The 21,869-nt window shown below is 40.1% G+C and overlaps 1 protein-coding gene across 4 annotated transcripts in view; it reads right to left on the bottom strand.

The window, feature by feature from the left end:
• DAB1 (DAB adaptor protein 1) overlaps positions 1–21,869 on the bottom strand; it is a 1,551,949-nt gene that overhangs the window by 821,034 nt on the left and 709,046 nt on the right. The gene's annotated exons all lie outside the window — the stretch shown is intronic.

Consider the following 21,869-nt stretch of genomic DNA (forward strand, 5'->3'; position numbering starts at 1 on the left):
CATATCTCTAATTTTGCACTTTTTGCACTGAATTAAAATGGTTTTTGCAATGGTCTCCAAGCATCTTAAGAACAGGAACATGATCTTTTAATGTATCCTCCAGGCTGGCAGTGTCCTTAACATAGTAGCTGTTCAATAAATATTTCTCAAACAAAAGCAGAGTCAAGATTTCTGGATCCCTGTTGGGCTCAGACTTTGCCACTGGCCATCTGGATGATATTGAGGGAGCCGTTTCTCTGCTGTGTGCCAACGTTTCCCTCACTGGTAAAGTGAGAGTACTGAGCTCAAAGTAATGCTCTCCATATATGTGTGTGCTCTGGGAGATCCATAAACAGTGAGAAGTCCTTGTCTGCCAAATGATGAAGATTTACACCACTACAGTAGTCTGTTCATTGCTTTTACCTGTTTCACTGATTTCGGCTCTACCTTAAGATTTCCTTTAACTAGGTGACCTCTAAGGTTCCATCTCACTATGCCATGCAGCCGTCATGACTCCCAGTGAGGTGCTCTTGCAGGTGCACCTCAACACCTTCCTCTAGTTGTTATGTTCTTTCTCCAAAGCCGGTTAAGTTACGAGTGACTGAAGCTATGGCTAATATGGATAGAACAACACACAGCTCATATGAATTACAGCACACAGCTGGGATCATCATTCATTATCTGGCTTTCAAACACAGTCCAGTCAAACAGTCCCATCTTCCTTTTGACTCCTGAAATTTTTGATGACATACTGCATTCGTCTGCTCTGATATGTTGCTACTCCCATAGACTTTGCTGAGAACTTTCTATTTCAAGTGTTCATCAGCCAGTGTGGATTAGGAGGACATTTAATGGAGAATTCATTATTATGAGAAATCTGTGAGTTGCCGTCATAAAATTTACCCTCACTTTTATAAAAGCCTTCTTCACTCATCCACTTCTTCTGAAAATGATCAATACCAGGCTATCACTCCTACGTCTGGCCTACCACTCTGTTTTTCAAAATTTGCAATGTTGACACAAATATGTTATTTGATTCATTTCAACCTAGGATTACCGTATGCCTATTATGTACCGGGTACTGCGCTAACCAAGAGCAGTAAACAAAAGTGTCCTTTACATATCTATGTCCTTGTGCAATGGCATGTCCCCTTCTCACCTTCTCATTCTGTTCCTTATCCCTCAAGACGAAATTATCTCATAATTCTATTATGCCCTTTATGACTCAATCTTCATAGGCTTACTCAGCTATACCTGAATTTCTCTCTAGTCATCATATATTTTACCTTGTGCCTCAGTTTCCTTAACTTGTGGGGAAGACTGAATGAAGAGAGGTGAAGCACTTAAATTGTGCCAGGCACATAATATATATTAAACAAATATTAGTTATTACGATTATTATATTTATCATTGTGATTGGCAGAGAGCAATAATTGGAGGGAGCTTGGCATTAAGATGGGTCATTCAAAGAGAGAAGGCAAAGATCCAAAGCATTGGTAATGTGGAGGTTCCTTCCTGGACCAACTGCATAAAAGGAAGAAGATGGTCTTTGAATGAAAATAGATAATGCTAGAAGCATTCTTCTGATTGCTTCAGATGTCAGGTCCAGGCTATGGCCAGCTGCCCATGAAGGGTCAGACATCACGAGCATCCTCGTCTCTCCATCCCCATCCCCCTGCAGCTCTGGAAGATATTTTCTGTTCTGGCCTTTCAGGAGGAGCTGCCTGGGGCTCTCAGCTCAGGCTGCCAACGTTGAACGAGCAGGTCACACTTCTTGGCAGCCAAGGGTGGAGGGCTCCTCAGGCAACACTCAATGTCAGGCAACACTGGCTCTTCTTCTGGCTGCCCCACTCAAAATTATTGATTTGAGTGTGTGAATCAGAAATGAGAGCTAGAGCTGCAAAGCGGCCTATTTCCTATCCATAATACAGCTGGTATAATGTGAGAGGTCATTCATTCATACCCTCTCAGAGCATCTAAGTCCGTGCTTTCCTCAAGCCCAGAAAAATGTCACTCTTCACCCAAGGACAGAGCTCATATTCCAAAAGGTTTCAATAGCTTATTCTTCTGCCTAGCTGCAAACTGGCCAGCTCAAAGCATATAGGCAGCAATATTTACTCATCACACTGTCTTAGGGAGGGCTTCAATGCGTCCTCAGAAATTTTTTAAAATAAGGACTTTTATTAATTTTTTAAAAAATACTTTGTCTATTTATTCACCCAACAAATACTCACCTCCTGAACTCCCTGGAATAATACTTGATATTTAGATGGGTAAGTTGAAAAAGCACCATATGTAATTTTCTGCTTTCTATTGATCACAATATAACAGTTAGAGAAAGAGAGCTAGATAATACTATAGAGTGTGAGGGGTGTTATAATGATGGTCAGTACATGTCAAGACATGGGCAAGGCATTTGGAAATAGAAATATCAAAATGATTGAGTAAGATATAAAAATGCTGCCTTAAAACACAAAGGAATATGTGCAATAGACATGCATTCCTCCACTGCCAAGTCCTTCTCAAACCCCGAGTCTCACTACACTTCTAACGCCCCATGTCCCTAAACATTTCTCTACCTCTAAGTCCTCCCTAGAAGGGGCAAGCATCAGAGACAGGAAGATACTAATTATACCTTTCACTTGGTAGTAAAATATGTTTCTTTGTTTTATAAATGAAATAAAATGGATGGGTCAAAATACTGGATAATATTGACAGTAATGCTAATAATTGTAATTATTATTAATAATAGTTACTGGATTCTTAGTATGTGTTACCCATTTGGCTAAGCAGCTTACATACATTCTCTTATTTAATGCTTGTGAAACCCTACGCATTAGGTTCTATTGCTCTTCATTTTACAGCAGGTGAAACGGAAGTTGCCCAGAGTCACCCAGCTAGTATGTGATGTAGCTTAAACTTGAATATATATCTGATTACTAAATCAAGTCTGCTAATAACTACATTATATATATATATATAATATTTATTTGTATATAATGTGTGTGTATATATATACATATGGTTAACGGGGCAATTAGGAAACCTTCACAGAAGATCCGAGTGCTGAAAGACAAACAGGAATTTTGAAATCTGTTAATTCTAACCAATCAACTAGCCTCTTCAATTATACAACTCTATGAAGTTAATTTTACTTTAATTTTATGAACTAACAGAAAGATAGCAACTTGGTGCCCGAAATTTAGTAAATTTTTTTAAAAAATCTCTAGTTACTATATTCTCTTACCCTCCCTTCTTCTATCCCCATGAGCCTAGCATAGTGCTATATACATATTTGACTATATGACTGATGGATGTAGACAAAGTCTGAGATTTGGGGAACCTCCCAGATCATCAGTCATGAAGCAGGGCTTCAACATGACAGCAACATATCCCCAGCCGCAGTTTGTGTAGAAAGATTTTATTTCAAGGCGCAGTTGAAAGCATCTCCTTTGCTTTGTTCGTGTTAATTATTTCTGAAATATAAGAAAGTGCATCCAGACAGGGGTAGAAACATCCAGACCTTTTGCTATTCATTTCTAAAAACAGATTCTGTTCCTTTACGGAGGATATCCTGGTTAATCAAACAGTATGTGCTCTTTTAATTTTCCTTGCTGGTTTCTGTCTCCATTCTTTTCTGTTGTTTCACAGTCATTTTTAGAGATTTAAGGAGTGGGTGGAGGAAGTGGAAACAGTTTTAATATCAATAAACTAATGATAGTAGCTAGAGCTAATTTTCCCTTATGCTTTTGGAAACAGGAAGAATCAAGAACAAGTTAAGAGAGAGCTTTCTTTGCTGGCAAATTCATTTCCCATAAAGAGAGGCGGTCATCTTTCCTGAGGAGTCTGAAATTCTAAGATAAAGATGAAAAGATGATATTTTATCATAATGACACGGATCTGCATTCCCATTTATCTTGTGCTCCCACAGCAAAATATACTGGGAACTGTCATGCTGCTTTGAAAAGTGGGAAAATATTTAGCCATTTAAATAATCCAAAAGTAAAAAGAGGCACCAAAGGGGAATAGCACAGAATAATAGCTTTATAGTCTCCCTAGGAGAAAAAAACTCAAATTGCTGACCCAGATTTCAGAATTTATAACTCACCTCCTAAACTCTGTCTGCAACTAGTGCTATTTAGAAAAGAGTATTTCTTTGGTAGTTCCTTAATAATAATAATCCTTTACATCCCTATAGCACTTTAGGCTTCTTTCAAAGTATTTCCACATCCATTATCTCATTTGGTCTTCAGAGCAGCCGTGCAAAGTACACAGGGCCAAGACAATTACCTCCATTAACAGAAACCAGTGACTGTTCACAGGCGTCAAACTAGCCCTGCTGTAGTTAAAAGAGCAGAAACCAGCCACATGATGCTCGGGCCCAAAGACTGGATTCCTTCTCTCAGAAACCCACTGTTTGCTTGCTGAGAACATGCACAATTGTCAGGAGCTTCCCAAAGTTACGCATTTCACCATCTTAAAAACAATTAATGTCAAATATTTCCTCTGAGCCAATGCTACTGAAAAGACAGCCCAGCTCTGAATAATACACACTGATTAAAACTTCCCCTTTTCCTTCTTTCGTAGTTGGGTCCAAGAAGATTTAAATTAACTTATGGTGAAAAGCTTAGTCACTTAAAAAAAAAAATTAAATCCAGAAGCTGCAATTGAGAATTTCTTACTTTCTTTTACATCATAGCTATTTCGAAGTCCCATCATGCTGGTGCCTAACTCTACCTCTATTTAAAATCTACAGCTGGGTTATATTTTCACCTTCTGGTTTAAATACATTTCGAATGTGTCAGTATCATTGCTTCTACTCCAGATTAATAGGATCAGCCAAAAGGATGGCTAACATTTTTGTTGCTATAGAAACTAGTCCTGATGTTACACAGCTTGCCTTTCCCCTCTTTGCCATACATCTATCCAGCTACTGAACACAGACATCTTTTTGTTTCACAAGGAATTACATTAAAAAATTAAACCATAATTTCATCCTGGTTTAGTCCCCTTTCTGTCAAAAAGAGTATTAAGTAATATGAAGAAGCATCCAAAAGAAAGTGGGAATTGCTGATATTGCTCAATAGCTTATGAGCCTCCCAGATATAAAGAGAACATAAGTTCAGCAAATTATTCCACATCCTAAATCCATGTTCATTTCTGCTCGAGTTAAGTACTTTACAGCTTTTCCTTCGCAAACCTCTAAGCCTGGCCAACACTTTCCACATTAGTCTCTCGACAACCAAACCAAGCCAGTTCTTACTCTTCTCCCTTTCACCCACCCCCAAAAAAGAAAAGCATTTCTGGACAGCTGTTTCCTTAAATATACCATCAACATCCTCTAACATATCACCTTCATTGTACACTCAGGTTCTTTTTCCACAGATGCACCATCGCCCCCAGAGAAAACCTCTCACACAGAATTAAGATGTGAAGTTTCAGCACCTAATGATGCAGCCAGCACGTATGGCTGATGCCAGAAGGTACACTCAATAAGGAAGAGATAGAGGGCATAATAATAATAATAAAAAAAGCACCCTTCCCAAATGACTGGGAAACACAGCTTCTCCAGCCCCTGTAATGACTGATGTTTATCAAAAGCAGAGGCAATGAGCAGCTCTGTAATTGGCAGGATCTACACTGTCAGTTGTCCATTTGTCACATCTATGATGGTGGTAGCAGCTTATGCATTAAGTGGCATTTCTCCCTTTCCCATTATAGGTTTAAATAAAACTTTCACAACCATTTGGGAGCCATAGACAACCCAAAGGAACAGATTCCTTAGGCAGCTCCCTGGGTTATCAAGCTTACCTGGAGGTGTTATGGATATTATATTGAGTAAGAGAATATTTGAGGAAGCCTTTCCTCACTTGATGGAATGCAACCCACAGGTTAGATGCAAAGCACTCTAATAAGGCTGAGGCTACTTTGCACCAAGAGCCAAGGAAGAGGCAAAAATGCCAGCAGGCTTTCTATAATAAGTTAAAAAATCAAAATCATCGTCACCTTCTTCCATTTTTTTTAAGAGAGTGAATTTGGCTTTAGGAAAAGGCAAGAGAAAAAGTGTTAACTGAGCCCCTGCATGTGCATGGTACTCTGATGAGGACTTAATTAATAACTATGATCTCATTAAATTTTCACAATTTCTGTGAGGTAGAATTTATCCTCAAAACTACTTGGAGGTGAAGAGGCTGAGGTTCAGCAAGGGCTATATCTCATCTCCGTCCCTAGCCCACTAGGCTGCAGGCTTCCTTCAGGTGGCTGAACTGGGAAGTGGAATGGCCAACAGTAGGTGGAGTACGTATCTGACCATTTTTGTAGTTTACATATACAATGTACACAAAACATATCATGAGTGAATTCAAGGGTAATACCTGTGAATTCAACCTATAATTATTTGTCAGATAAATGTTTCATAGTGTTGGACAGGAAGTATCATGCTGTCCATCGTAATCATAAATGGAAGATTATTTTTAGTTGAGATTCCAAGTAAGAAGTGTTTCTTCTATCCAAAGGGAGTGCTGATGGGGCAGGTAGATAACTTTAAAGACCACAGAGAAGAGGGTCTCTCTGGACAGAGCTGAGATCCTTGCCATGGCCACACTGGTTAGGGGGATCACTGGCTCTTCTGAGAGAAGAATCTGCAGAGTAACCCAAGAGCTCCAGATGTATCTTTACTCAGAACTTATTTCAACCAGGGCTCTTTTAATAGTAAAAGGGGTCACTACTAATAATTTACCCTTGTACAATAGACATAAAGTGGGACTGACCTGGGCAAACATAGCAGTATTATCACTCCACTCATAAGGTGATTGCATGAAAGTCCAGATAAAATATTTAATATTGCCCTGTTCTGATTTAAGAAGGTTAATGATGTTACTCTAGATCAGCACCACCCAATAGAAATATAACGTCAGCCACATATGTAAGTTTGCATTTTCTAGTAGCCACATTAAAAAAGTAAAAAGAAAAAGGTAAAATTAATTTTAATAATATATTTTTAGACCAGTAAATCTAAATTATTACCATTTCAACATGGAATCATTATTAAAAAATTAGTGAGATATTTATCCTTTTTTCAAACCAGATTTTGAAGAATAGGTAGGCTTTGAGTGTATTGAGGTACAGGCTCCCAATAGAAAAGAAAGAACTCTTTAGATTTCTTAGATAAAATGAAGAAAATAATTTAGGAATTTTTTTTTTTTTTTTTTTGAGATGGAGTCTCACTCTGTCACCCAGGCTGGAGTGCAGTGGCGCGATCTTGGCTCACTGTAACCTCTGCCTCCCAGGTTCAAGCAATTCTCCTGCCTCAGCCTCCTGAGTAGCTGGGATTACAGGCACGTGCCTTCACACCTGGCTAATTTTTGTATTTTTAGTAGAGATGGGGTTTCACTATGTTGGCCAGGCTGGTCTCAAACTCCTGACCTCGTGATCCGCCCACCTCGAACTCCCAAAGTGCTGGGATTACAGGCGTGAGCCACTGCGCCCAGCTGAAAAAATTTTTAAAAAGAAAAGAAAAGAATAAAAACCATATTTTAATCAAGTGGAAGGGATTCTAAACCTGAGTTGGAAGAAAAGGTTGTGACTGGGGAGGTTGGACACCGAGGAAGAGGAAGGGGAATTGATGGCACACCGGACCCCATAAATGTAAGGTTTTTCATGCAAAAAGTAAGCAGGGGTCTTCTGGAGAAGACGAAGCAGGTTATGCATCTGTGGAGTACAGGAGAAAAAATTCTGCATTTCTAGAAAGAAATAGATAATCAAGCAGGATGTGGCTAAGACTACCAGCTTCCTCAGGTGTGAGTACATAATTCATTTTTGTATCTCCAGCACCTAGCAGACTGTCTGGTGCAAAGTATTAACCTCATCCCAATTGTTGGGTAGATGACTTGCCAGGGATTGATGTATAAAAGGAAAGTGGCCCTGACATGAAGGGAGGGTAACTGCCATTTTTGGGGCCCCCATTCTCTGGGAACCGCATGAGGCATATGTCATCTAATAGAATAACACTGAGACAGGGACTGCTAAGCCCACTTTATGGATGAGGAAGCAGAGACTCAAAGACGTCAAACTTGCCTAAGGCCTTACCAGCTAGCAAATAGCAAAGCTGGGATTTGACCCTAGACCTGTCTGATTAGGAAGCCCATGTTCTTTCTACCACATCATGCTGTCCAGCCAGTTGGTGAATGTCTTTTGAGAAGGATAGTAAGTGTAATAATGTGCTGCTGATGATAATAATCATGGCTAATATATATATACCACTTGCTAAGTTGCCAGTACAGTTCTAAGCATTTCTGTCAATTCATTTAGTCTATTCAACCATCCCATGAGTTAGATGTTATCTCCATGTTATAGAATGAGCTGAAGGCAGGAAGTTTAAGCCACATGTCAAAAATCACACAGCCAGTGAATGGCCAAGCCAGGATTTGAAGCTTGGTGGTTTGGTTCCAGCGTCCATAGCATTTGCTCACCCACAAGTGCCCATTGTGGGTGAGGGTGGGGGTTCACCTTCCATGCTGTGAATGTGGTCACACTGTAGGGTAACAGCCAGAGACTTGCCCAGCACACAGACGTACTATATTTTGTTCTTGGGATATGAACGATGGCTGATTGCTTTTGAAATTTGACTAATTCTTCTTCCAGGGTGTGATTTAGAGAAATAGGGTTACCTATTTCTCTAAATAGGTAACATGTTACCTCAAAATGTGTTTACAGGAGAGCCTGAGAGCTTCATTACTGACCAGAGTGTAACACAATACAGACATTCTCAGCACAGGATTTATATTTGACCTCACCAATAACATGTACACAGACTGATACATGTCACATTTTCAGTAGCAATTTTGCCCAAAGCCAACAGTGGGATATGCGTCTTAACCAACACCATAGCGTAGCCTCTCAGAGAAAACAAATATTTATTCCCTGTGTCAGTCATTCATTGCCTGCAGCTAATATTTATGGCATTCATCCAGAGCACTAGCCAGCAGAGAGTCTGCTTTGTCGAGCTTCAGAGATTCCAGCAGCAGCTGGGCAGAGGAGCACTAAAGTTTCCTGGAGAGATTCACAACCTCACAGTTGGGAGAAAGAGCTGACAGGTGTCCTGCATGGAGAAAGACATGAATGATCCCAAACTGCACTGATGAGTGGCCTTGGGGGAGTGCTTCCCATGAGGGTACTGGATATTGATCAGGATAAACTGGGAAAGGCCTAGACTGAGTTTTAGTGCCCATGTAGTGATTTAACGTCATGGCTTCAGACAAGCCACTTCATATCCTAGGTCTCAGCTTTCTCAGAAGTAACGTGAAAAGGGTGACCCAGTTTCATTGAAGATCTTTACAATTTTATGCTAACATAGTCAACTTCATTCCCACTCTGAAACAAAGCTCTGGCTCCTGGTAACCCCAGACTGAGTCAGAGTTTAGGGCCCCTAGCTTGCTCAGAAAGAAAGCTCTGACATCTTTACCATCTTTGAAGATGATCATCCAGCTTGAAACAGCAGATTTTGGATGCCCAAGAGCAACTTATTTTGTAAGCCCTCAAATTCAAAAATATGACCCTTCAGGATAGTTACTTTCCAGTAGAGAACAAGTAAGTGAGAACATTAGAGGAGGCAGGACTGTATAGAGGAAGGCACACAGGGCTATAGTAGGAACTGAAGCCAGATTGTCAAAGCATCTGAATGTCTCACTGAGTTTATATCTCTGGATTTTATTCTATAAAAGATGAAGGATCATCACAGGTGTTAAGGGCAGGAGGAAGGTGACTTGAGTGGGTTTTAGAATAATAGATCTGGTAGCAGGGCAGAAATTGGACTGAAGACTGGACAGACCCTTTATTCTTCATTCATTCACTCATTTATTCTACAAACAATTATTGAGATCCTCAATGAACATTTGTTGATTGAATAAATGACTATATGATCTCAAATAAGATAAATTTTCTTATTAGGCATTTTGCTCCTGGGACCTGGTGTATAGTAAAGGTATAATTGTCCTTCATTGAGTTAATGTGTGAATGTTGTTCAGGTCAGGTCCCACAAGTGGATGAGGTCATGAGGAAAGGGTAAAGAAACACCATCTTGGGAAACTTGGTGCCATTTCTGATCTCCTGGGTCTCATTCCGCCCTCCCAGAATAATTTTGCATGCTCATCTGCATCAGCATGTTGAATTATACAAGGTAGCAAGCTGTCACACTGTAACAGGTGTGGTGTATCATTCCGTTGGTGCATGAAATTAAAAAGATGTGGTTTGCTAGGGTACAGCAGATTAACCAAACTTGCTTCTCAGTCCATCTACTTTTATTCACATGTAAAAATCTCAGAAGAAGGAAACAGAGAACCAATCAGTCTGATTAACTATCCGTAGGTTAGTGCCAATAAACAGTTTCATGCTATCCACTGCCAAGGAAGTGGGATGTTTGATGTTTATTGAGTTCCTACTTTGTGCTTCGCATATTAGGAGATGTGATATATGTATATAGATAGTTATCTCCAGTAGTTCACATGCAATGATGAGCAGGATATGAGTACATCCTTGTGACACAGCGTGAGCACTGCTGTAGAAGAGGAATAAACAGGACCTGTAGAATATCAGAAGAGGAGCATCTCATCCAAGCTGAGAACATTAGGGAAGGCTTCTTGGTGGAGGTAATACCTGACCTGAATCCTGCAGGAAAACTAGGAATTAGCCAAAAGGAAGAGAGGGAGAAAGCAGCAGCAGGTATGCAGAGATAGTGGGGAGGGGCAGCAAGTTGCCCCACTCTGTGCACCATGGATGGAACATCTGCTGCAGACACTGCCTCCCAGGGCTCCAACATGGACAGTGAATTCCTGCCAGAAGGTGAAGCGATACAGCAAACAGGCATCGGAGCAGATGTGACAAGTGCACAGGGTTAATCAAGCATTCTGCAGCCAGCAAGAGAAATAAATGTCCCCAGAGCAATACTGGCAGCAGCTGGCAGGAGATGGCACTGACTCAAGCTTTGTCCTCCTGGAATAGGAAGTGCTCTGCCACTCTGAGGACTGGAGGCACTTGCCATGTGCTCCTCTCCCATTCCTTCTTATTCACATAGAGAGCAAGAGACAGGGGGAAGGGAAAAAAATTAGTAATAGTGTCACTGACCTACAATAAAGAAAGTAATCAATAATCATTCTACAAAAGAAAAAGAGATGAAGAAGATGGGTATTTGGTAATTTGATGGTTTCTATTTGCCTCTCTGGCTTTGATTTTACGGTTGGGAAGGATGTGAATGTTATTACATGGCAATGAGGTTGCTATGGTAACTCTTTATTGTTTAATATAAGATGAGCTAAATCTTAGATAAGTTACTGGGAGAAAAATTAATGCTGCCAAAGGCCAGATCCAGTTTTTGATTCCCTTTTTTTATTTAACATTTATGCCTGTTTCCCCTTCATAACCTGCCCTTCTCCTATAGGACATCAAACACATATCAAAATGAAGAACAGTTCAGCCATTGTTAAAGGGATCCTGTACTATAGAAAATCAACTAGGACCCATTGGTCAGGAAGAAAGAAGTTAATAACACATGTTAGTATCTGTGCCTAGGATAACTCAAAATGTGGCTCAATTCTAGCTTTGCAGTCAACATTCCTTTTCTGCAATCCCAGCTTTACTACTTAGCCATTCTGTGACCTTGGGCAATTACATTTTCTGGACCTATTTCTCAATATTCAAGATGAGAATAATAATGACATCTACCTCATCAAATTTTGTGGGGAAAAATAAATTATGGAAGATGGTGAAGATTTAACACAGTGCCAGGAGTGCCAGGCAATACTTGGTACTCAATAATTAGAAGCTATTCCTCTTTTTCCTCCTCCTATAATGATAATGGGGAGGATGACATTATTTTATTAGTATTTCAAGGTCCAGTTAAAGAGCCATGTCTTCCACCTTTCGTGACTTATCTGGAACACACAAAGGCTACTTCCTTCCGTACTCCCTTTGGCCTGCCTATAGGTATCACAAAGGCGGCACTGGGATGGGGGCAGGGAAAGAGTAGGAAAGCTCTGGTGCCACTGACAATCCCTAAGAGCTTACCTTGCTCCGGGTCCTATACCAGGCCCTTCACTTACATTACTTTATTATTTGTTAAAACACTCCAAATATGTTGACATGATCATCCCTATCTTTGTTTGTTTGTTTTTGTTTCTGAGATGGAGTCTCGCTCTGTCGCCCAGGCTGGAGTGCAGTGGTGCGATCTCGGCTCACTGCAAGCTCCGCCTCCCGGGTTCACGCCATTCTCCTGCCTCAGCCTCCCGAGTACCTGGGACTACAGGCGCCCACCACCATGCCTGGCTAATGTTTTGTATTTTTAGTAGAGACGGGGTTTCACCATGTTAGCCAGGATGGTCTCGATCTCCTGACCTTGTGATCCGCCCGCCTCCGCCTTCCAAAGTGCTGGGATTACAGGCGTGAGCCACCATGCCTGGCCGATCATCCCCATCTTATAGAGGAGAAAGCTGAAGTTCAGAGAGGTTAAAAACTTTTCTGAAGTTCTTACTGCTTATAAATGGTAAATCTGTGGACATCTGATTTTAAAACTCCTGCTTTTTCCACAGCACCATACAGTTTTCCTTTTGATACATTTTTATCTTATCTTCCACCCCACCTCCTGCTGCAGTAATCTTGGGGACTGAGAGTGGGCTTTCATTGTTTTTTCTTTGTGTTCTGGCTTTTCCCCTGTTCCAGTGATACCACATATTATGTGCTCAACAAAAGCCTGTTGATTGAAATATTGGAATCAAGTCAAGGAAAAAAATGAGACAAGAAAAATGGATGCAGCCATGTATGCATGTAGATACTGACTTGGCTAATGTATTGAGTCTTAGATTTCAATTGACAGCAAGGATAGACAAAAAGAAAAATGTATCCTACTTTTGACATAAATGACAATCCAGAAAAAAAGGATGGGCTAAGAAAATTGTGGTTAAAATAAAGCAGGTGGAATCTGAGAAAAACTAATTAACTTTCTAATTATATCAGAAGTTGTAAATCATAAGTTTTTACACTCTTAGAAAAAAGGCTGAGAGGAAAAGATGACAAACCGGTGATTTAAATATCACCTAAGAATACATAACTTTCATTTTATAGGCAGCTCTGGTGGTAATATTATAAAAAGCATTCTGGTTTCCTCAAATTCCTTCTTAATGAATGGCTTCTCAATTCAATAATTTTATTTCAGTTAATCTATCACCTTGAAAGCACATTTTAAGAAAGCCTAGTAGCGCACTCTTTTAGATAATTCAATAAATGTTTAATTTTTCCCAACCCCCACCCCTAAAGCATTCACCTTGTTTGGATTATAGCCTTAACTGACAGGCACAGGTTCACTTACAGCATCTGAGCTGAGGCTGATTCTTCTCTTGCCAAGGTGCATTATGAAAAATTTAAAAGTGAATTATGAGACAGTATCTGATTATTAACTAACAATTGTATTAAAAATTTAAGAAGTTCGCTTAAGAAAAATGAAGTATAAAAACAATAACACAATTTTAGTGGTAGGTAGTCAGAAATGTTTTGTGGTTTTGGAGCCTCAGAGAACGTAGCTTTGATTTTGGCAGTTTCGTATTTGTTTTCTGATCTTCAGCTCACAGGGCTTCAGTTTTCTCATCTGCATAAGGTGAGAAGAATGCCGCCTATCTTACAAGACTGCTATTATTCTGTAAAAGATAATGCACAAGATGCTTGCTAGACAGTAAACATTCAATCAATGGTTTCTTTGGAGTAATAATATTTCCAGTTGATAGGATTCATTTATTCATCCAAGAAACATTTATTGAGAGCTTCTTGCCAGGTGACAAGCACTGTGCCAGATGCCAGGGACACAATATGGTAGACAGTCTCTGGGTCTGGGTAACTCACAGTCTGCTGGAGGCCCAGCTCTTTCTCTGCCACCTTTTTGCTCAGCCCGCCCCCTTCCACCCAGAGATTTCCACCCCAGCTGAAGGTTCAGCAAGATTTCTTTAAAGTACGACTACAGCCCCAAATTGCTTTTTCTGATAATAAAATAATTCCTTACATGGGTAAATACAGACCATTCTTACATCCATTATCTCATGTGAGCATTACTGCAGTGCTGGTAATAATAGCAGTCAGTACTTAAGATGTATGATACTATGTTGATATGTTCACATTACAGGTTGGAAGACTAGCGTACAGAGAGACTGGTGCTTGTCCAATTATATCTGACTCCTTCTCATGACACTCTACACTCTCTCCTGCTCTGCTATGAGAACTGGCCAGACAAGGACTGCTATCTTGTGAAGATGAGGAAACTGAGGCTAGGGAGAGGAATTAACTTGCCCAAGAATGTTCTGTAAGTGACTGACAGAGACAGGATTAGAACCCAGGTACCTTGTCACTTACAGATTCATTCAGTCACTCAACTTAGATGCCCTGAGCAAAGAAAGACCATTAAACCTCTGGAATCCTCTGAATAACAATGATAAAAATAATGGTGACACTATTTATCAATTAACACGTTCTTACTCCCTACCAAGCACTGTTGAATGAGTACTTCATCCTTTTCAATCTTTGCAGTAATACTATGAGGTAGGCCTATTACTTTTCCTATTTTTAGCACATGACTAAATAGCAGGTAGGTTATAAAACTTGTCCAAGGCAACAGAGCAAGTAGTAGAGGCAGGATTTAAACCCAGGCAGCGTGACCTCAAAGCTGGCCTTCTCAAACACTTCTCTGAACAGCATCTCTCACCCAGTTATTGGCTAATGTGTATACATGTATGTGAGTATGTATGTCTCCTTACACATGAAAAATATATATATATATAGTTCCCTGTGCAGGAAAGAATTGACACACAGGCCTGAGGCACACCTTTTGGAAAGCCTGCCTACAAGATTGGTTCTTTGCTGATGTCTGGGAACTTGGCTCTTTAAATAGTCTCTAACTGATAAGACCGATTTACTATACCTAGACTGTTTATGCAGAAAACCTCTTTTCTTTCTAGGAGTCTAGATTTTTAGTAGTTGCTAGATGGAGAGTGCATATGTGACTAGATCCCAACAAAAATCTTGAGTACTAAGTCCCAAGTGGGCTTCTTTAGGCCAGAAACATCAGACAAATGTTGCTTATTTTATTTTATTTATTTCTTTATTTTTGAGATGGAGTCTCGCTCTGTTGCCCAGGCTGGAGTGCAGTGGTGCAATCTCGGCTCACTGCAAGCTCCGCCTCCTGGGTTCACACCATTCTCCTGCCTTAGCCTCCCGAGCAGCTGAGACTACAGGCGCCCGCCACCATGCTGGCTAATTTTTTGTATTTTTTAGTATAGACGGGGTTTCACCACGTTAGCCAGGATGGTCTTGATCTCCTGACCCCGTGGTCCGCCCACCTCGGCCTCCCAAAGTGCTGGGATTACAGGTGTGAGCCACCGCGCCCAGCCATGTTGCTGTATTTTTGCAGCTGGGTGTAGAGTACATTCTGTGTGACCCTTCCTGGGAGGGAGAGAGATTAGGAAACCTAAATATGAATTCCTTCAGACTCTACTAATGTTTTTCCCTTACTCGTCTAGCTGTATATCTGGAGGGTACTTCCATAATAAATCTTAGCCCTGAGTGTTACTATATGTTAAGATGTTGAGTTCTGTGAGTCCTTCAAGTGAATTACTGAAAGCATGGCTAGTCTTAGGTAACCCCACCAAATATTGCCTCATTCATAAACCATGAAAAAGTTATATTAACTAAATAATACATATTTATTTTCTTCTCTTTTTTTTTTTTTTTTTTTTTTGAGAAAGGGTCTTACCCTGCTACCCAGGCTGGAGTGCAGTGACAGGATCATGGCTCACTGCAGCCTTGACTTTCTGGGGAACAAGTGATCCTCCCAGCTCAGCTTCCTGTATATCTTGAACTACAGGTGCATGCCATTGTGCCTGCCTAATTTTTTGTATCTTTTGTAGAGACAGGGTCTCACTTGTTGCCCAGGCTGGTCTCAAATTCCTGGGCTCAAGTAATCCTTCAACCTCAGCCTCTCAAAGTGCTGGGAATACAGGCGTGAGTCACCATGCCCATTTTCTTTTGTTTTTCCAATGATTCATTGAATAAATACTCACCAAGAACATACTATGTGCAAGAGACTATGCTTTGTTCTGTGGAAACAAAGGTGAACACACAGACATGGCTCTTCCTCATATAAAACTTACATTCCAGTGGAGAAGACACATGCTAAACAATAGGACAAACACATAATTAAATCATATATGCATATGTACGTGCATAATTAAATCATATACACTTGCATATGTACACGTACAATTAAATCATATATCCATGCATATGTATATATAAGATCAACTGTGATCTGAGGCAGGAAGAGCAGTACAAAGAGCCATGCCAGTGTCACAGAAAGCATCTTTGAGAAAATGGCATCTGAGCTGATGTCTGAAGGACAAGTCACAAGAGTAACTAGATGAAGAGAGGGTGGGAAACAGAAGAATAAGACTTTTGGAGATACTTCCTATCTCTCTTCCAAGCTTTAAAACCTGGGCCAATAAATGAAAAGAAAAAAAGTGACAATCATACCACTGGATAGCCACTCTTGTCACGAGGACAATTTTAAGAGCATAAATGAGACCTATGGAGACGTATAGAGAAAGGAATCTTCAGGGATGTCTGGGCCCTAGATGGAACAGATCTTGGTCCAACATTTTGAACAGCCTATGAGAATGGTAAACAGCGGTGCTCTCCATTGCTGTGAGATTTTTAGTCAGATACTTATTTCTTGCCTTGCTGACAGAGGACTGTCATGCCTGGGTCATCTCAACCAGCCCCAGTTTTCCATGGTAAAAATCAGGGCATGCTGTCATTGAATAATTGCAGCTTGCCTACTGAAATGCAGATGTGCAGTCAATGGAGAGGATTCAATTTCTGGGGGGGCAAAGAGAGAAAAGACAGAGGGAGTCAAAGTAGCTGCAGTCTTTCTATTTGTTCTCTCCTGAGTCTTTGGTTATTCAAAGGACTGAAGTGGATTGTTTATGTTTCCAAGGGAACAGGGCTCAGATGCCTGGGCATTTTTGTAGGGGTGGGGGTGGTCCACCCAAAACTGGCCTTAGGGAGTTATTATGGGCTTGGAAGACAGGGATGAAGAGCTGTGAAGATTCTCTTCTTCTTTTCCTTCTCCATCACAAATCCTGACACATATTTGAACCTACAGTGATGCCTCTCAGGCTGTGGATAGGGAAGCTCTGTAATGGTGGGACAACAAGGAAATAAGTGAGCCTGGGAAGGACTGAGACTGAAAAAAAAAAAAAAAATCCTATGCTTACAGTACTTTTCTAGGATATTTGTAAGTCAGAAACTTACAAATTTGCTCCCAATGTGTTTACTTGGTTGTTGTTATTGCCTATTATCGGTGGTGAATCCTACTATTTTTCTTTAGAAAAGAGAACAGATTAAACTTTATTATATGCCAGGTACTGAGAACAAACCTGTAAATAGGTGTTTAGTTCCTATTTTATAGATTTGGAAATAGGTTCATTTATGCATTTCTTTTACATGAACATTAACTGTTGCATGTTTCACATCGTACCAAGTACTTTAAAGACATTATTTCATTTAATTCTTATAATAAAGGAATCTTCCCTATAAAAAAGAAAGCTCACATCCATGCTTCCCATTCTTGTACATTCAGCCCCTTTAAAAGCCAGGCACTGTCCTTGGTTCCAGTCAAGTTGGCTGCCCAGGACCACACAGCTTATGCCTCAGGGCAGTGTTGGGGAACCGAAAGATTAATGTCAGGAGCATTAATAAAGCAAGATGTAGAGTTGAATAAATAAGTGAATGAGTGAGTGAGTTTGGTGAATTAATAAATAAATAAAAATAGTTGGTGAATTGAGGAGTAGGCTAAAAGTAGAAACAGCAATATTTTCTCATGAGGAGAGCTGAATATTTTCAAACTCATTTCTAGCCTACCCTAACTGCATGATACCCAAAACATCATTTGGCATGGATGACAAAAAGTCATCAAACTAGGAGAGGCCAGTAAAATGAGGAAAGAAACTCATTTTGTTCAGACTTGTTTTAGCTATGGTTTAACACAGTTTAGGACCATGGCCATAAAGCCCTCAGGAACAATCTGATGTGCTTGAAAGTATCATATTAAATTACATTTCATTACATTTTGCCCAAACAGCATAGCAATATCTGTGTACAATATTTGTAACAGGATGCAAAAATGAAGCTTGTATTTGCATCCTATTAACCTATTTAAAATCTCAAACAGAAGAAGATGAATTGGAATATTTTGCAGTCTAATGCATTAGAATATAAAATGTGGAAATATAAAGTAGCATTAAACAACTGCAAATATAATAGTAAGCACTGTAATAGTCATGCAGTGATTTCAGATTGCAGTAAATTCACAGTTTTGTCCGCAACACCACAGAGATAAGAAATGGCTGGTGTGAAGTACAAAATGAAGCTTTAAGGAAATAAAAATTTTGCTGCCATACTCCTACCATTCTACTAAAAGAAATCAATTAGTTTCGTCTTGAAAATAAAATAAAATACACAGAGGCTAACTAATATAAGGAGAAAGCTTATGTTGACTGCTTTTTTGAACACAGTAGATACTCAATGAGTAATTATTGTGGAATAGATACATATTTCCTTCATTCTTTGAACATTTCATTAGTACCTACCATGTACCAGGCACTAGGTTATGTATACCAAAGCAAAAAGGGATTCAGCAGTCATTGTTGCCTCATTAAATGTTTCAGTCTGTGAAGGGAATATATATATCTTTTATATATGCACACAGTTTTTTATATATATATGTGCACACAGTTATATATATACATACACAGTTTTATATATATATAAAACTGCACATATACGTATGTGTACATATATATGTGTATAGATATATATTATATATGTACAACTAGATATGACTATATATATGGTTTAAAATATATATACATAAAATATGATAAAAGCTATAATTAGAAGTGTACAAGATGCCAGGGAGCAGAGGAAATGCAAAGGCTATGTATGTCTTTGAGGGCTGAGGCCAACCTTGTCCTCCTGTGTGGTCAACTGAAGTGTATTTCAGGGAACAGGATAACCCAGGCCCTCCTTCCCAAGTCTATTTTCCCCACCTTTTGTTAAACTCTGTTAAACTTGTTAAGAGAGGTCTGGGTTCTCCATACAGAGAGTTTAAAGTTTCATGAAAGCAGAAGTTCGTGCTCAATCTTAAAGAATGATAAAGGAGGGATATTCTTTGACTGATGGATTGGCATGTGCAAAAAGCACCTATAAGAAATTAATGTGGCTAGGGTGTAGGGTGGGAATAATGGGCAGCTCATGCTGGATAATAATAATTGTCAACATGATTTCAGATTCTATGCTTAGACTAAAGAACAGTGGCTTTATGATTCAGTGTTGATATCAGGCAATGCTATGATCTAGGGTCAGAAAGGCATCTGACATTTTCTGAGAGCTTGTTATAAGCCAGGAAACCATGTCTAGGGCTTTATAATCAGCATCACTGTCAACTTTCATAGCCACTCTTTATGTTAGCTATCATCAACCCTGTTTTCAGATGAGGAAACTGACTCATTGAAAAATTGAACACTTTTTCCAATGTCATATAACAAAGGAGACTTCTGTCATTAATTCTAACTATTCCCAAGCAGAAATTGTTGTTAGAAACCACAGAATGCCTCTGGGAGCTTTCAAGTCAGGAAACAGGGGACCAGAGAGTCCAGGTGACTCGGCCAAGGTCACCCAGCAAGTTGTTGGGAAAGCCTGGATATGAGCCCAAGACTCCAGAGTTCTCTTCTAGTCCTCCATCATTACTGTCTCGTCAGATTCTCACTTCCCCAGCTACAGCCTGTGCAAACAAGGGAGACGGTGCAGTGATAGATTGTGCCTAAGAGCTATTTTAATAGCCCTGCTGTTTTGCTGGAGAAACACAGATGTTGTGATTTGCTCCTCCTGAAGCCTGCAGCAGGGTTACTACTTAAGCAGCCACCAGATGCTGCTGTTTCCGAAAGACACCTGAATGCAGCCAAGCTCCTGGGAACACACCAGGAGAACTGCTTAGGTCACCAATGCCCCATGACGTTCATTAACAGCTGCCTTGATCCTTTGCTAACACAGGTACTCTACCCATTTGGGTCAAAGCCCCGAGGCAAATGAAGGAATAGTGATTCCAGGTATCAGAACTCCTTGCCTTCACTGAGGCTCACTTAAAACCCAACTCAAGGCCAGTCATACTTCATGGACAAGTTCAACCCCATAAAGTGTGGAAAGAAAAGAATGGGGGAGAAAGAGGAAGGAATTCATATTTATTACCTTACCACTACTGCACTTGATGTCTAATGAATATTTTTTCATTTAATCATTACAACAACTCTGTGAAGAAATTATTATGATCCCTATAACAACAGGTGAGAAATGGAAGCTAGAAAGGTGATGAAATTCATCAAAATGTAATATAGCTAATCTGAGGTAAAGAAAGGTTTTGACTGTTGGTCTGAAGTGTTCCATGCCTATATAGTTTCCAGGAAAATGGCAGCAAAGACTATTTTCAATATCTGGCATGTCAAGTAAAATAACTTGACTCGAGAATCCCTTGGGTAAGCCACTCGTCATCCTATCTCCTTCTCTCTGGTGGTACTCTTCTTTTCAGGATGGCTCTCTGCCTCCACTCACTCTGGTTCAAAAGCTTCTATGCTCACTCTTTCGGAGATGAGGGAAGGAGAGATGGAGGGAACCAGGGGCTGACTCATTCAGAATCCATTTTCATAAATGTGAACCTTTTTGCAGTGAAATAAATTTCCCACCTATGGTATCTCCGCATCTCATTCGGCATCCGCCATCTCTTGATTATCACTGTGGGTTGTAATGTACACTCTATTAAATGGGCAATAAACACAGCAAGGGTTATTGCCACACATAATAGCTAACAGAGATCGTATCTTTTTTCCTATTTCAGAGCCTTCCACACCTTTCTCCTGACACCCTTCCTATCTCCCTACTAAAAAAGAAAAGCCGAAATATGCCCTGATCTGTGGCATACAGTCTTTTCATTCATTCAACAAACCGAGCACTTCATCACGGCCCCCTAGACATGCTTTGCTCTCAGCGTCTCCATCTCAGAGAAAGCATCTCCATCCATCTGACTGCTCAAACCAGAAACCTAGGAGTGATCCTTGGCTCTGCTCTCTCCTTCACTGCTCCCTTCTAATCCATCACAAAACCCAAACCCACCTCGTGAATGTGTGTCAATCCATTTCCACTGCCACTACCCTAGTCCAAACTGGCAGTCTTTCTCAGGCTACAACAGTAGTCTCATAATGGGTCCCTCTTTCCTCTTTGATTTTCTATCCCTCTCCCAAAATACATTCTCCAGGCAGTAACCAGAATGATCTTTTTAAAAAACAAATCTGATTGTGACACTTTCCTATTCTTAAAACCATTCAGCGGGTGCTAAGTGTTTTTCATTATTTCCTCGTTTCCTCAAATCTCCTTTTTGCTAGTGAAACATCTCTAACACATTCATGTTTCCACCCTTGCCCCATGCTTTCTAGTCCTCTCACCATTCTACTTGACTTCTCCCAGGTAACATCCAGGTTGTGTTTCTTTGGCCTGAAACAGGGTTATTCTTTGCTCCAAATCATATCTGACCTCATACATATGCAGAATGGGTGGATGACTAGATGGTGATATTTGAAGGATTCCTGTCCTAAAATATCTCCCCCACTCCAAATTAGACCACATCACTTCCCTGCTTGAGACTCTCTTCTGCCCTCCCCTCCCATAGCCTCTAGGAAAATGGCCCAACTTATTAAGATCATGCACAAAATCCTCATTATCTGGATATCTGCACATCCTTCTGGCTTCATCTC

The sequence above is a fragment of the Homo sapiens genome, chromosome 1 (genome assembly GCF_000001405.40).
Source record: "Homo sapiens chromosome 1, GRCh38.p14 Primary Assembly".
NCBI classification, from domain to species: Eukaryota; Metazoa; Chordata; class Mammalia; order Primates; family Hominidae; genus Homo; species Homo sapiens.